Source organism: Homo sapiens, chromosome 10, assembly GCF_000001405.40.
Source record: "Homo sapiens chromosome 10, GRCh38.p14 Primary Assembly".
Lineage (NCBI taxonomy): Eukaryota > Metazoa > Chordata > Mammalia > Primates > Hominidae > Homo > Homo sapiens.
Window position 1 is genome coordinate 100,010,574 of NC_000010.11, and position 16,433 is coordinate 100,027,006.

Here is a 16,433-nt window from a genome sequence, read left to right on the forward strand (position 1 = left end):
AAAGACCACGAAGTTACACAGCTTGGCTATGTTGCTGGAATTGCTGCGCCTCACGTTTCTGGAATCTACCTAGAGGATTCTGAAGAAGGCGGCGAGTCTATGACTGTGCATGCACAACAAAAATAAATATTTCACAAATCTCATCCCATGCTGTATATGTTTCTCCTTCCCTTTGCTTTTTAAAAACTTGTGGTTAAATATATATCACATGAAATTTACCATTTTAATCCTTTTTAAGTGTACAGTTCAGTGGCATTAAGTACATTGACATTGTTCTGCAACCATCACCACCATCCAGCTCCAGAACTTTTTCATCTTCCCAAACTGAAACTGTACCCATTAAACACTAACTCCTCATTCTCCAGCCCCTGGTAACCATCATTCTACTTTCTGTCTCTATGATTACTCTGGATACCTCATATAAGTGGGATCATACAATATTGTCCTTTTGTGAGTGGCTTCTTTCACCTAGCATAATGTCTTCAAGGCTCACCCATGTTGTAGCATGCGTTAGAATATCCTTCCTTTTGAAGGCTGAATAATACTCAATTGTACGTATATAACATCTTTGGTTTATCCCATCTTTCTGTGGACATTTGGGTTGTTTGTACCTTTAGGCTATGGTGAATAATGCTGCAATGAACATGGGTGTACAAATATCTGAGTCCCTACTTTCAATTCTTTTGGGTATATATCCAGAAGAATTGCTGGATCATGTGGTAATTCTGTGTTTAATTTTTTGAGAAGCCACCATACTGTTTTTTTTTCCTTTGCTTTTTGAAGCATGTTAACACTGTAAAGAGAACATTTTGTAGTAAAATATCAACGTTCGGAGAGTCTTTAAAATTCTTAGCAATGCTTCATTTGCCTGTAAAACTGTGACTTTTCGGCGGATCACGAGGTCAAGAGAACGAGACCATCCTGGTCAACATGGTGAAACCCTGTCTCTACTAAAAATAAAAAATTAGCTGGTCATGGTGGTGGGTGCCTGTAGTCCCAGCTACTCGGGAGGCTGAGGCAGGAGAATCGCTTGAACCCGGGAGGTAGAGGTTGCAGTGAGCTGAGATCGCGCCACTGCACTCCAGCGTGGTGACACAGCGAGACTCCGTCTCAAATAAATAAATAAATAAATAAATAAATAAATATTTTAAAACAAGTGACTTTTCTTTCCTCAAGAAAGTAATTAACATTGCAAATCTATTGTCTTTATTTTTGGATAATGTTATTAGCCAAAATAAAAATAACTTATTATTCAGTTTCCTACAATTTTGTTTTCTGTGGATGTAGCTTTCTAAAGTTGTTTGGAGTCAAGTATGCCATATGAAATTCAGATGAAAAATCAAGCATTTCGTTTTATTTATTTTTTTCGCCACGTTGGTCAGGCTGGGCTTGAACTCCTGACCTCAGGTGATCCACCCTCCTCGGCCTCCCAAAGTACTGGGATTACAGGCATGAACCACTGCGCCCAGCCTGGGGATCGGAGTTTTTTGTTTGTTTGTTTTTTTGAGACGGAGTCTCGCTCCGTCTCCCAGGCTTGAGTGCAGCGGCGTGATCTCGGCTCATTGCAAGCTCCGCCTTCTGGGTTCCCGCCATTCTCCTGCCTCAGCCTCCCGAGTAGCTGGTACTGCAGGCGCCCGCCACCACGCCTGGCTAATTTTTTTTTTGTATTTTTGTAGTAGAAACGGACTATCACCGTGTTAGCCAGGATTGTCTCCATCTCCTGACCTTGTGGAGTTTTTAAAGATAATTTGGCTGGTGGGGTCTTGAGAAGTGGGGAGTGCTGATTGGTCAGGTTGGAGATGGAAACATAGGGGGTCAAAATGAGGTTTTCTTGCTGTTTTCTGCTCCTGGGTGCAATGCAGAACTGGTTGAGCCAGATTACCGGTCTGGATGGTGTCAGCAGATCCATCAACTGCAGGGTCTGCAAAATATCTCAAATACTGATCTTAGGTTTTGAAATAGTGATGTTATTCCAGGAGCAATTTGGGAGGTTCAGGCTCTTGGAGTCAGAGGCTGCATGACCCCTAAACTGTAATTTTTTTTTTTTTTTTTTTTTTTGAGACGGAGTCTTAGTCTACCGCCCAGGCTGGAGTGCAGGGGTGCAATCTCAGCTCACTGCAACCTCCACCTCCCGAGTTGAAGCGATTCTCGTGCCTCAGCCTCCCTAGTAGCTGAAATTACAAGCATGCACCACCACGTCCAGCTAATTTTTGTATTTTTAGTAGAGATGAGGTTTCACATTGTTGGCCAGGCTGGTCTCAAACTCCTGGCCTCAAGTGATCCATCCACCTCAGTCTCCCAAAGTTCTGGGATTACAGGTGTGAGCCACCACTCCCGGCCTTAAACTGTAATTTCTAATCTTGTAGCTAATTTGTTAGTCCTGCAAAGGCAGACTGGTCCCTAGGCAAGAAGGGGGTCTTTTTGGCAAAGGGCTATTATCAATTTTGTTTCAGAGTCATGAACTGAATTCTTTCCCAAAGTTAGTTCAGCCTATGCCCAGGAATGAACGAGGACAACTTAAAGGTTAGAAGCAAGATGGGGTCAGTTAGGTCTGCTTTCTTTCACTTCATAAGTTCCTCAGTTAAAATTTTGCAAAGGTGGTTTTATACTTTTCATTTATCAATGAATTCTTACTGTACATTTGTGATGTAACAGGCATTGTGCTAGGTGTTTGGCATTCAGGCTGACCAACACAGACAAGATCCTTGCCTTCATGGAGCTCACATTCTAGAGTAGGGTAACAGACAATAAAGAAATAAACAAATGATAATCCAGACAATCATGGGGTGTAGTTGAGTGTTATGAAGGAAACAAACCAACTGATGCGATAGATTAGATCACAGAGAATTAAAGCCTAGTGCCCTAGGCATTTGTTGTATGTAATGAGTTAACTTCTCTCCTATGCAATGTTGGGGCTTAGAAACCAATACCCTAAAATAGGGTGCTTTGTACATGTTGAGCTGAAAAAGCAGTCTCAAGGTCTCTCTCAACCTCCTCCCACCTGCCCCTCTTCACTGTCTCTCCCAAAGCATAGTATTCTCTGAAGTTTCCTTATCTGTCCAAAGTCCTGACCTACCAAAGAAAAACAATTATCTCTGATCTCTTTCCTGAGTTTTAATTAACTGAACCCACATTGCAAGAAAGAAGACCAAAGTCTGTCAATAAACCTGGACAGACTTTTGTCACAAACCACTGTCTGGTCTGCAGGCCCAACAGACTTTGTCCCAGACCATTGGAAGTTCCTCAAGTTCATTGAATTCTCCCTAGTAATCATTTATTGCCCTCAATAGAATTCCTCTTCTTCACCCTCCCATAACCTGTTTTGCCAGCATCCAAGTCACCATTTTTTCTGTAGCCTCAAGATGGTACATAAGCTTCTGCACCCCATTGGGGGGTTGGTCTTCCGTGTCACATAAAACTATTGTCAAACAGATGCATATGCCAATTAATCTGCCTTTTGTGACCTGATTTTTCAGCAAAACTTCAGAGGGCGAAGAGGAAGTTCACCTGACCCCAACAGCAACCAGAACAGTTCAAGTCATACTCAGTCCTTGAAAGAACTAAGAGGACAATTCACTCCACACAGCTTCTATGTCATGTGGTTTAGATAAGGAATCTAGGCTGATAAAGGCCAAAGTGAGGGATGGGAACCTTCTCTGAATATAGAGATAGTTGGGGAAATCCCCTCTGGGGATGTAACATTTACCTGAAACTTGAATAATGAGAAAGAATCAAGCCGGACATGGTGGCTCAAGCCTGTAGTCCCACGATCTGCAGTGAGCCATGATGGCACCACTGCACTCCAGCCTGTGTGACAGAGTGAAACCCCATCTCAAAAAAAGAGAGAAAGAATCAGCCATGTAAAGAGCTCTTCAGGCAGGAGAAACTGCAGGTGCAAAATCTTGAAGTAGAAAGCCATCTAGTACGTTTCGGAAACACAAAATAAGCCATGTGAACAAAGGAGGCAGTTTTATGAGATCAGATTAGAAAACAAACAGGGCCAGGTGCAGTGTCACGCATCTGTAATCCCAGCTACTTTGGAGGGTGAGGTGAGAGGCTCACTTGAGCCCAGAAGTTCAAGATTGCAGCACATTATGATTGTGCCTGTGAATAGCCACTGCACTCCAGCCTGGGCAACATAGCAAGACCCTGTCTCTTAATAATAATAATAATAACTATCTTTTTTTTTCTTTTTTTTTTTTTGAGATGCAGTCTCGCTCTGTCGCCCAGGCCGGAGTGCAGTAGTGCGTGCAATCTTGGTTCACTGCAACCTCTGCCTCCCAGGTTCAACTGATTTTCCTGCCTCAGCCTCCCAAGTAGCTGGGACTACAGGCATGCGCCACCACAACCGGTTAATTTTTGTATTTTTAGTAGAGATGGGGTTGCATCATGTTGGTCAGACTGGTCTTGAACTCCTGACCTCAGGTGATCCACCCTCCTCGGCCTCCCAAAGTGCTGGGATTACAAGCATGAGCCACCGCACACGGCCAAATAATAACTATCTAACAAACAGTATGTAGGTCATTTCTGGTTTGGTGAGCCATGGTAAAGAGATTGATTTTTGTGATAAGTTGATGTATTGAGACGTGATTAAAATATCCCCAAATGAAGGGACTGAAATGAAAATAACCAAACGAGATAAATGTGTGTGGAACTGCCTTGTTAACAATAAGGATTATATCTGTATATGTCATATTAAAACTAAAAAGTACATTGTTTTTCCCCTTGAATAATCCTCAATAAACCAAAACACAGAATGGCTCAATTCATATTTTGATTCATCTAATTGATTAAAACTATTTGGGTGTGTCATCCTTTGATATACCGTAAGTACTATCACGGTTATGAGGGGCTGCACCATGAACTAACAGTTTGGCATGACTTGGCCCCATATCAAAGGCAACTCCCTCTGGCTTCCCCCCACAATGCACCATGTCACAGCCATAAGCTGTTGTTTGCAATGGCAAGCAGATGAGAGTAGTGAGCTGCTGAAACTAATCAAAGCTGGCCTTGCTCATGCTATGTCAGCTAACCGTCCATCCTGGAATAGCCAGGGGACCAAATTCCAGGGTGGTGGGGAGGAGGGGATGTATAGATAAAATACTGTTAATATATGCTTATTTCTATTATAAAAGAAAATGTGATCCAACAACCTAGTGATAGAACATGGAAGACATAGGTTTGCATCCTAAAATGTCAGACATCACATGAAAATACTAACAACTATTCATCAAAATGTTGACACAATGCACCTGGCAGTCTCATGGCCAAGGTTCAGAACGGTGAGAATTCAAGTTGAAAAGAGATCGACAGAGGAAGATTGGTGATCAGATCTCACAGGCAAAGGAGAAGTCAGCATGGTTTTCTTTTCTTTTTTTTTTTGAGACGGAGTTTCACTCTTGTTGCCCAGGCTGGAGTGCAATGGCGGGATCTCGGCTCACTGCAACCTCCGCCTCCCGAGTTCAAGCAATTCTCCTGCCTAAGCCTCCCAAGTATCTGGGATTACAGGCGCCCACCACCACAACCGTTTAATTTTTCTATTTTTAGTAGAGATGGGGATTCACCTCGTTGGCCAGGCTGTTCTCGAACTCCTGACCTCACCTCAGGTGATCCACTTGCCTCGGCCTCCCAAAGTGCTGGGATTACAGGCGGAGCCACCACACCCGGCCAAGTCAGGATAGTTTTCACAGAGGGCATCTGTCTGGTGGACTTGAACTAGGACAAGGCCAACTCCTAGAAGACAACAGAGGCCATTTGGTTTCATTTAGGGATAGACCCTGGTTGGCAAGAGTAAGACCAGGTCTTGTTTTGTTCTTCCTAGAAGAGAACAGACCCTATAAGAAAGCTTCTGTATTCTGAAGAAAAGACTGTATCATGTTTATCTTCAGGGCTGTTCTTAATATATTGATATATTGATGCCTAGGGACTCCTCTTCCTATCTACTTGCAGAAGCTTGAATTGGTTTACGGGAAAACAGAGAATTATTTCACACTCAGAAGTAAAAACCATGGCTGGACGCAATGTCTCACACCTGTAATCCCAGCACTCTGGGAGGCTGAGGTGGGGTGGATCGCTTGAGGCCAAGAGTTCAAGACCAGCCTGGCCAACATGCTGAAACCCTGTCTCTACTAAAAATACAAAACTTAGCCGGGCATGGTGGTGTGTGGCTGTAATCCCAGCTACTTGGAAGGCTGATGTGTGAGATGTATCTCCCTCAAACCTTGCTACAACATTAGTAATGTACCAATGTCTGACATTAAAAAAAAATCATTGGCTTGTAAAATAAAAGCCTTCTATAAACTACAGTGTGTTTCAAATACTATATTTGAGTATTTTTAAAAAGAACAAAATTGTGGTCACTTTATTTCTTCATTTATTTATTCTTCCTCTGATTCCAGAAAGGATTTAAGGAAACTCACTCAATTCCTTTGATCTAGTGCCGGGATGGACTTCATCCCAAAGGGCTCACATGGGACAATCTAAAAGGAAGTCAAAGATGCCTTTTCTCCCCGCTCCTGCGGGGTGAACATGGATCCAAGGGGTGACTTTCTTTGCCGAAGTAGGGGGATCACCTGAGGTCAGGAGTTTGAGACCAGCCTGACCAACATGGTGAAACCCCGTCTCTACTAAAAATACAAAATATACTTGGGCATGGTGTTGCACACCTGTAATCCCAGCTACTCAGGAGGCTGAGGCAGGAGAATAGCTTGAACCTGGGAGGCGGAGGTTGCAGTGAACCGAGATCGTGCCACTGCACTCCAGCCTGGGCAACAGAGTAAGATTCCATCTCCAGAAAAAATAAAATAAAATAAGGGCCAGGCATGGTGGGGCACGCCTGTAATCCCAGCACTTTGGAAGGCCGAGGTGGGTGGATCACCTGAGATCGGGAGATCTAGACCAGCCTGACCAACATGGTGAAAACCTGTCTCTACTAAATACAAAAAAATTAGCCGGGTGTGGTGGCGCATGCCTGTAATCCCAGCTGCTTGGGAGGCTGAGGCAGGAGAATTGCTTGAACCCAGGAGGCGGAGGTTGCAGTGAGCTAAGATCATGCCATTGCACTCCAACCTGGGCAACAAGAGCGAAATTCCATTTAAAAATAAAAAATAAGAATCAATAAAAACAAATTAACTAAAAGAGAGCATTCTGAATGTTTTCACCACAAAGAAGTAATAAATATTTGAGATGATGGATTTGCTAATTACTCTGATTTGCTAATTATACAATGTATACATATATTGTACCCCATAAATATGTACAATTATATGTCAATGAAAGATAAATAAAACAGAAAAAAGTCACAGTAAAATCAAAATGATGCTTAAATTCAACAAAATTATAATGCTCTTTTGTTGTTTTGTCCACAACCATCATTCCTGTTTTTTTTCTTTTTGAGATGGAGTCTCGCTCTGTTGCCCAGGCTGGAGTGCAGTGGCATGATCTCCACTCACTGCAACCTCTGCCTCCCACGGTCAAGCAATTCTCCTGCCTCAGCCTCCCAAGTAGCTGGGATTGCAGGCATGTGCCACCATGCCCGGCTAACTTTTCTATTTTTAGTAGAGACGGGGTTTTATGTTGGCCAAGCTGGTCTCGAATTCCTGGCCTCAAGTGATCTGCCTGTCTTGATCTCCCAGGGATTTTTTGTTTGTTTGTTTTAATGGGAAACAACTCATCTATACTCGCAGTCCCCCATATTTCCATTCCAGCACCCAGAAGTGATCATATGACCCCAGACTGACCAATCAGAGTCACTGTGATAGTTTTAGAGATAGGCACGTAATCCAGTTTGTGCTATTGAGATTCATGCTCAAGAATCAATAGTTTGTTGCTAAACTGTGTTAAATGAAATTTATAGGAGGCCATTGGGTGGAACTGAGCTCTTGCACTAGGCTTAACAGATAAAACCAAAATGGAGTTACTCATACTGAAGTTTCCACCAAGCCAAAACTAAGCTATTTATTTGATCTTCCAAGAAATCAGGCAAGAAATAGATAATAGCCAAATCCCCAAACAGGCCTGTTTTGGGAAGCATGATGAGGTGGCCCCCTCTGCTTTAACCTTTATAAGGAAAGTAACTTTGTAACAACCAATCAGTTTTTGTTCTGTTCCTGCGTTCTTCAGCCCTCTTCTGCCTATAAAGTCAAATTTCTCTGCTCAACTCATCTGAACACTCATTCTATCTTATAGAATGAGTTGTTGCCCAATTCTAGAATTGCAAATAAAAGCCAATTCGATCTTTAATCTAAATTTGTTGTAATTTTGTCTTTTGATAGCTGAGAGAAGATAAGCTAAAAGGAGCTGTTGTTCACCTTGCCTCATGGAGAGAGACTATGTGAGAATGAAGTCACTACTGAAGACAATGAAATCAAGAAATGGAGAGAGATTCCATACCACCTAACTTAGGCACCTCAATCCAGCTATGTCTGGATTTTTAGTTATATGCCAATAAAGGTCTCATCTCTAAACTACTGGCTCAATATGCCAGTCTAAGATGGAAGATTTACTATTTCCTAGTAAGATGAGAAAAATTTCATTTACAAGACTTCTTTATTCTGAGATTATACCTTTCCTAATTTTTGGTGTTAGAGTATTTACGAATTGATGGTGATAGTGGATAACAATTGTATTTTACCAATAGTCCTTAATAGAAAATTAGAAAGTTAGTCCAAAATAGAAAGTAGCCAGGCATGGTGGCTCATGCCTGTAGCCCCAATACTTCGGGAGGCTGAAGGAGGAGGATCACATGAGCTCAGGAGTTCAAGACCAGCCTGGGCAAGATGGTGAAACCCCCATCTCTACAAAAAATTTAAAAATTAGCCAGGCATAGTGGTACATGCCTGTAGTCTCAGTTACTCAGGAGGCTGAGAAAGGAGGATCACTTGAGCCCAGGAGGTCAAGGTTGCAGGCAGCTGTGATTGTGCCACTGCACTCCAGCCTGGGCAACAGAACAATACCCTATCGAAAAAAAAAAAAAAAAGAAAGTTGGTGGGCCCTTTATCCTTCCATTAAAAAAAAATTAGGTCATTTTGTAGGTCATAAGCATGATGATTGAGTTTTCATGCTCATGCGTGAGATGTACCTCCCTCAAACCTTGCTACAACATTGGTAATGTACCAATGTCTGACATTAAAAAAAATTATTGGCTTGTAAAATAAAAGCCTTCTATAAACTACCGTGTGTTTCAAATACTATATTTGGATATTTTTAAAAAGAACAAAATTGTGGTCACTTTATTTCTTCATTTATTTATTCTTCATCTGATTCCAGAAAGGATTTGAGGAAACTCACTCAATTCCTTTGATCTAGTGCCCGGGATGGACTTCATCCCAAAGGGCTCATATGGGACAATCTAAAAGGAAGTCAAAGATGCCTTTTCTCCCTCCTCCTGCAGGGTGAACATGGATCCAAGCGGTGACTTTCTTTGCCTCCTCCCTGAGACTGCAGGGGGAGGCAGGCAGAGTAACAGCAGAAACAAGCAGTGCTTTTTCTGTTTGGCTTTTCCCCGGGCTGCTGGCCTCTTATCCCTTCATGGCTCCAGGCAGTGCTTCTTAGGTGATGCTACACCCACCTGCAGCAGGGCCTGGTGGGGTGGGGGCGAAGGGGTGCAGGAAGTATGTGAACAGAATGAAGGTGGGAGAAAGAAAGATTAACGAGTAGCAGTGTGGGGAGGATCATGAAGTGGTGAGGGAAAGAATAAGAGACAGTAGGGGTAGGGGGAAGCCTTTATAAATAGTGATATTTAACTTCTGGGAGGAGGGAGAGAAGTGATGTTTGCTTAAGCATTTGCTCAGGGGGAATGTTTACTCATGGTTAAACCCAGAATACAGTTAGTGTTAAAGTAGAAATGAAGCTGCATTCCAGGCAGGAGGTGGGCATGGTGGATTGCAGGGTGTGTGCTGAGAGTGTGTGTATGAGACAAATTGTGGTACCACATGTGTAAAGATGATGCTCTAGACACAGGAAGTCTAACTTCTCCAGTTCTGATGGCAGATTTGTACCAAGTCATGCTGTCCTACTTTCTATATCCTTGCTTTCGAGATGGCTGGTTGGGTTTAGGGGTGTTTTCTGTGGCCACGGAGAAAGTGAATCTTACTGGCTCACTTATTAATAGACTCAGTGTGGTTTGGATGCTACACTGTCTTGGACCTATGCTGAGTTAGACTTCTAGCACATTGAGATCATAAATCAGGAAACTGAGCATGCACACACACCCCCTTACGTTCAAGAGATGCAGTTGCTAGAACCAGGTGGGCTCTTTCCTGCCACAGGGCTCCTGGGCTTGCTATTTGAGTGGCTGCAGCTGTGCCTGGGAGGATGGGGCCCCTGCCTGATCCCGGGCCCCAAGAGGACCGGGATGCCTGGGTCCATAGCCATGGCTTGGGCAGTTGCAGCGGCACCTGGGGAGCTCCTGCCCCAACTCGGAAGGAATGGGGCTCCCGCTGGTCCCTGGCTCCCGCTGGCTCTATTGAGCTTGCAGCCCCAGCTGCACCTCCCTGCTGCAGCCGGCGTGATGGCAGCAGCCACTCCAGATGGCCCGCCGCTGCCATCATAAGCACATGGTGGGTTTCTTTGGCAACCAGACCCATCCTGAAGCTATCTAGGGGCTTTCAGCTACCAGTCATCTCATTAACATAAACTCAGGTGTAATTCAAATTCAGGGGCTTGTTACCGGTAGCAAAAGAGCTCCTATCACCTCTGTCATTCAGGAAGTTACAAGGGTTTTAGAAGTTGTACACCAGGGGACAAAGACAAAATATATATTTCTTAATAGGTCTGCTAAGTTAGGTTTATCATAAAGCTGCCTCCTTACACAGTTCAAGTTCAGTGTAAAGATTTTGCCATACATAGTGAACTATAACCTTATTGGATGCATAAACAGACTGTAACCTATTCTTGTGCCAATCACTGAATTTAAGCCAATCAAAGGTGACCAACTATTCAAAATGTGTCCAAATAAGGCAAATGCAAAGCTGTAACCAATCCAACTGTTTCTGTCCATCACTTTCCTTTTTCTGCCTGTAAGTCTTTTTTGACTACGCAGCTGTGCAGGAGTCTTTCTGAACCTATTCTGCTTTGGGGGCTGCCTGATTTGCAAATCATTCTTTGCTCAATAAACTCTCTGTTAAATTTAATTTGCCTAAGGGTTTTTTTTTTTTTTTTGAGATGAAGTTTCGCTTTTGTCACCCAGGCTGGAGTGCAGTGGTGCAATCTCAGCTCACTGCAACCTCTACCTCCCGGGTTCAAGCGATTCTCCTGCCTCAGCCTCCTGAGTAGCTGGGATTACAGGTGCCTGCCACCACACCCAGCTTTTTTGTTTTTTTGAGACGGAGTCTCGCTCTGTCGCCCAGGCAGGAGTGCAGTGGCATGATCTCAGCTCACTGCAAGCTCTGCCTCCTGGGTTCACGCCATTCTCCTGCCCCAGCCTCCCGAGTAGCTGGGACTGCAGGTGCCCGCCACCACGACCGGCTAATTTTTTGTATTTTTAGTAAAGACAGGGTTTCACCATGTTAGCCAGGATGGTCTTGATTTCCTGACCTCGTGATCCACCCGCCTCAGCCTTCCAAAGTGCTGGGATTACAGGCATGAGCCCGGCCTGTGTTTTTTTTTTTAATAGAGACAGGGTTTCGCTATGTTGGGCAGGTTGGTCTCGAACTCCTGACCTCAGGTGATCCACCTGCCTCGGCCTCCCAAAGTGCTGGGATTACAGGTGTGAGCCACCACGCCCGGCCCTAAGGTTTTCTTTTTAACAGATGGTGTCAGAAATGGGATCTGAAGTAGAGCTTCTACCCCCACCAGGGGCATTGAGTGACTAATGAGGTACCAACCAGACTCATTTTGTCCATTGCTCTCTCTTACAACTGAGGATCGTGGGTATCTTCTCTCTCAGATTCTGAAGCTCTATGGGTTTGTGTTTTGAGCTATCTGTTTGAGTGAATTTTTTATATGAATTGGGTTTGGAAGTTGTGATACAAACTGGACTAGGTCTAGGATCAGATTACATGCAATAGTTAACTGGCTTTGATCCAGTTAGACGCCTCAGATGTCTGAGTGGTTCACAGAGAAACTGGCAGTAAATGGTAATAGCACAGAGGCTGTGAACTTCAGCTTTTAGAAATTCACAGAGATTTTTGTGTTGTAGTATTCCTTTTGTTTCCTTTTCTTGCACACTTAGGTAGAAAAAAAAGCATTAGCTAAGTTAATCAAAGGGATCTGAGAGTTAAGGACAAGATCCAAAGTAAAAATGGGGGTCCCTGGCCAGGCACGGTGGCTCACGCCTGTAATCCCAGCACTTTGGGAGGCCAAGGCGGCGGATCACCTGAGGTCGGGAGTTCAAGACCAGCCTGACCAACATGGAGAAACCGTGTCTCTACTAAAAATACAAAATTAGCCAGGTGTGCTGCCGCATGCCTGTAATCCCAGCTACTAGGGAGGTTAAGGCAGGAGATCACTTGAACCTGGGAGGCGGAGGCTGTGGTGAGCTGAGATCCTGCCATTGCACTCCAGCCTGGGCAACAAGAGTGAGACTCCGTCTCAAAATAATAATAATAATCCTTTACTACTGAAGAACTTAGTACTCCACCTTCCAGCTATGCTTACCTATACATGCATAAATATTAGGCTCTGGAGCCAGGCATGGTGGCTCATGCCTGTAATCCCAGCACTTTGGGAGGCCGAGGCAGACAAATCACGAGGTCAGAAGTTCGAGACCAGCCTGGCCAACATGGTGAAACCCTGTCTCTCCTAAAAATGCAAAAAATTACCTGAGTGTAGTAGTAGGCACCTGTAATCCCAGCTACTCAGGAAGCTGAGGCAGGAGAATCACTTGAACCCGGGAGGCGGAGGTTGCAGTGAGCCGAGATCGCGCCACTGCACTCCAGCCCTGGCAACAGAGTCAGACTCTGTCTCAAAAAAAAAAAAAAAAAAAAAAAAAATTAGGCCCTGGAAGCAGCAAACACAGAAATGGCAACACCTTACTAAAAATAATACAAAACTACAACATTTCAAATGAATACTGCACTTTTAAAAGTGTATTTAAAAATGAGGGCCCCAGGCTGGGCATGGTGGCTGTCGCCTGTAATCCCAGTGCTTTGGGAGTCTGAGGCAGGAGGACTGCTTGAGCCTAGGACTTTGAGACCAGCCTGGGCAATATAGTGAGATCTTGTCTCTACAAAAAACACAACACAATTAGCTAGGTGTGATGCACATACCTGTAGTCATAGCTACTCAGGAGCCTGAGGTGGGAGGATCTCTTGAGCCTAGGAGATTGAGGCTGCAGTGAGCTGTGATCACACCACTACACTTCAGCCTGGGTGACAGAACAAGACCCTGTGTCAAAAAAAAAGTTTTAAAAAATGAGGGCCCCAGGCCAGGCGCAGTGGCTCACGCCTGTAATTCTAGCACTTTGGGAGGCCGAGGCAGGCGGATCACGAGGTCAGGAGATCGAGACCATCCTGGCTAACACAGTGAAACCCCGTCTCTATTAAAAATACAAAAAATTAGCCGGGCATGGTGGTGGGCGCCTGTAGTCCCAGCTACTCGGGAGATTGAGGCAGGAGAATGGCGAGAACCCAGGAGGCGGAGCTTGCGGTGAGCCGAGATTGCGCCACTGCACTCCAGCCTGGGCGACAGAGCAAGACTCTGTCTCAAAAAAAAAAAAACAAACAAACAAAAAAATGAGGTCTCCAGAATTAGTTTCATTCAGAGATAATTATTGATGTACAGAAGCTTCTGAAAAGATTTCAATATTTTTATTGATTTTAAAAAAGATCTGGTTGGGCGCAGTGGCTTATGCCTATAATCTCAGCACTTTGGGAGGCCGAGGTGGGCGGATCACCTGAGGTCAGGAGTTCAAGACCAGCCTGGTCAACATGGCAAAACCCTCTCTCTACTAAAAAACACAAAAATTAGTCAGTCAGGCATGGTGGCAGATACCTGTAATTCCAGCTACTTGGGAGGCTGAGGCAGGAAAATTGCTTGCGCCCAGGAGGCAGAGGTTGCAGTGAGCCGAGATCATGCCATGGCACTCCAGCCTGGGCGACAGAGCGAGACTTCACTTCAAAAAAATAAAAATAAATAAATAAATAAATAAAAAGATATTTATATGTTGTGAAAATGCCAATGAACAACATAGTTTAAAAGTAAATAATTGGCTGGGCATGGTGGCTCACGCCTGTAATCCCAGCACTTTGGGAGGCCACAGTGGGCAGATCACTTGAGGTCAGGAGTTGAAGACCAGCCTGGCCAACATGGTGAAACTTCGTCTCTACTAAAAATACAAAAATCAGCTGGGCGTAGCGGCGCACGTCTGTAGTCCCAGCTACTCAACAGGCTGAGGCATGAGAATCGCTTGAACATGGAAGCAGAGGTTGCAGTGAGCTGAGATGGCGTCACTACGCTTCAGCCTGGGTGACCAAGCGAGACTCTGTCTCCAAAAAAAAAAAAAGTAAATAACAAAACAAAGGGGAAAAAAAAGACTGTTTATAAAAAGTAAATAGAAGGCTTATGTGACTAAACGATAAGAAGAGTTAAATCTTTGTAATCCCAGAATTTTGGGAGGTCAACACAGGAGGATCGCTTGAGCCCAGGAGCTCCAGACCAGCCTGGGCAACAAAGTGAGACATTGTCTCTACAAAAAATTTAAAACTTAGCCAGGCATGGTAATGTGTGCCTGTAATCCCAGCTACTCAGAAGGCTGAGGTGGGAGGGTTGCTTGAGCCCAGGAGGTCAAGACTGCAATAAGCCATGATCACATCACTGCACTCCAGCCTAGGCAACAGAGCAAGATTCTGAGAAGAAGAAAGAAGAAAGATCAAAGAAGGAAGAAGAAAGAAGAAAGAAGGAAAGGAAGAACAAGAGGAATTAAATCTGCTCATCCTTTAGCTTCATTACTATCTGGCATGAGATGGGATAGTTCCCTTCACCCTTACCCCCTTCGTGGGTGGGCAGGAACTGGAGTGGTTTGTTTCACTCAGCCTGCAGTCCTTGGATGGCTAAGTGTTAACAGCTCAGTGAAGGGTCAGGGTGACAGCCTCCTGCACCTGCCTTTTTGACACCCAAGTTCTTTTTCAGTGTGCAGGAAGAATCAGATCACACAGACTGTTTGAAGACTGGCTCTCAGCAGCATGTGGAGCTGGAAAGGGGATGGTGCAGGAAGAAGGTGATCTTTCCCTGAAGCCGCACCATCTGAAGTTAGCTATTTGTAGTCTCTGATGCTCAGTTGCTTGCTTCTCTGCTTGCTGCTCAGCTGCTTGTATCCTGAGGCTCAGCAGCTGGCGTTCCGGACCACTTGCATCGGCTGCTCATGTTGCTCTTTCTTTTTTCTGCCAACTGGTCTGGTTTTTATGGACACAGGATGGGGGTGGGGTGGGCCAAAAAGGCAATCATTTGGGCGGAAAAAATAGGATCAGCTGTTTTCGCTTAGGGCAGAGGTTCCAGGCTTAAGAGTGGAGTTTAGCCAGGAGGAGGTCCTGAGAACATTTGCCCACGGTGGTTGGGGCACAGCTTGGTTTTATACATTTTAGAGAGGCATGAGACATCAATAAAATACATTTAAGAAATACATTGGTTTGGTCCAGAAAGGTGGAACAACTCAAACCGGGGCAGGGCTTCCAGACTATAGGTGAATTTAAACATTTTCTGGTTGACAATTGGTTGAGTTTGTCTAAAGACCTGGGATTGATAGAGAGGGAATGTTCAGGTTAAGATAAAGATTGTGGAGACCAAAGTTATTTTGAAGTCTTATAGTGGCTGCCCTTAGAGGCAATAGATGACAAATGTTTCCTATTCAGATTTAGTTAATCTCTTTAGGTTATTTTTGCCTGGATTTACTGGTCAGACAGAAATGTATTTTAGGGTAAAATATTTTGACCTTCTTTGTCTCATAATGTTATGCAGAGTCAGGTTGGAAAGTAAATCACGATATTTTTGCCTGGATTTACTGGTCAGACAGATGTATGCTCTCTCTGCTACATGTTTTAAAGTTATACTACTGCTGCTTCTTAATATTTTTTGATACTTGTTTGATTTGACTGTGAGCTTATGATTTTGGTTTTGAGCCTCTGGATTCTGGGGTCTGGATGAGTGGTCATGGTGAAACTGCCTTTGCAAAATATGACAGTAAGAGACCAGGCGTGGTGGCTCATGTAATCCCAACACTCTGGGAGGCCAAGGCGGGTGGATCACTTGAGGCCAGGAGTTTGAGACCAGCCTGGCCAACATGGCGAAACCCAGTCTCTAATGAAAATACAAAAATTAGGCCAGGCGTGTTGGTTCACGCCTGTAATCCCAGCACTTTGAGAGGCCGACGACGGTGGATCACAAGGTCAGGAGTTCAAGACCAGCCTGACCAACATGGTGAAACCCCGTCTCTACTAAAAATACAAAAATTAGCCAGGCGTGGTAGTGCACGCCTGTAATCCCAGCTACTCAGGAGG

General features: G+C 44.3%; 1 non-coding gene across 1 annotated transcript, besides 3 other annotated features; it reads left to right on the forward strand.

Annotated features, from left to right (window-relative positions):
- Positions 3,375–3,494: an enhancer, noted in NCBI's record as "active region_3878". NCBI's record gives its function as "activates an Ori minimal core promoter by ATAC-STARR-seq in GM12878 lymphoblastoid cells {active_cell/tissue: GM12878}" and the evidence as "EXISTENCE:reporter gene assay evidence [ECO:0000049][PMID:35858748]".
- Positions 3,505–4,054: an enhancer, noted in NCBI's record as "active region_3879". NCBI's record gives its function as "activates an Ori minimal core promoter by ATAC-STARR-seq in GM12878 lymphoblastoid cells {active_cell/tissue: GM12878}" and the evidence as "EXISTENCE:reporter gene assay evidence [ECO:0000049][PMID:35858748]".
- On the forward strand, positions 9,021–9,126 carry LOC124902583 (small nucleolar RNA U13). The gene has a single exon (XR_007062416.1). It is a non-coding gene; the product is annotated as a small nucleolar RNA U13 (small nucleolar RNA).
- Positions 10,095–10,294: a silencer, noted in NCBI's record as "silent region_2700". NCBI's record gives its function as "represses an Ori minimal core promoter by ATAC-STARR-seq in GM12878 lymphoblastoid cells {active_cell/tissue: GM12878}" and the evidence as "EXISTENCE:reporter gene assay evidence [ECO:0000049][PMID:35858748]".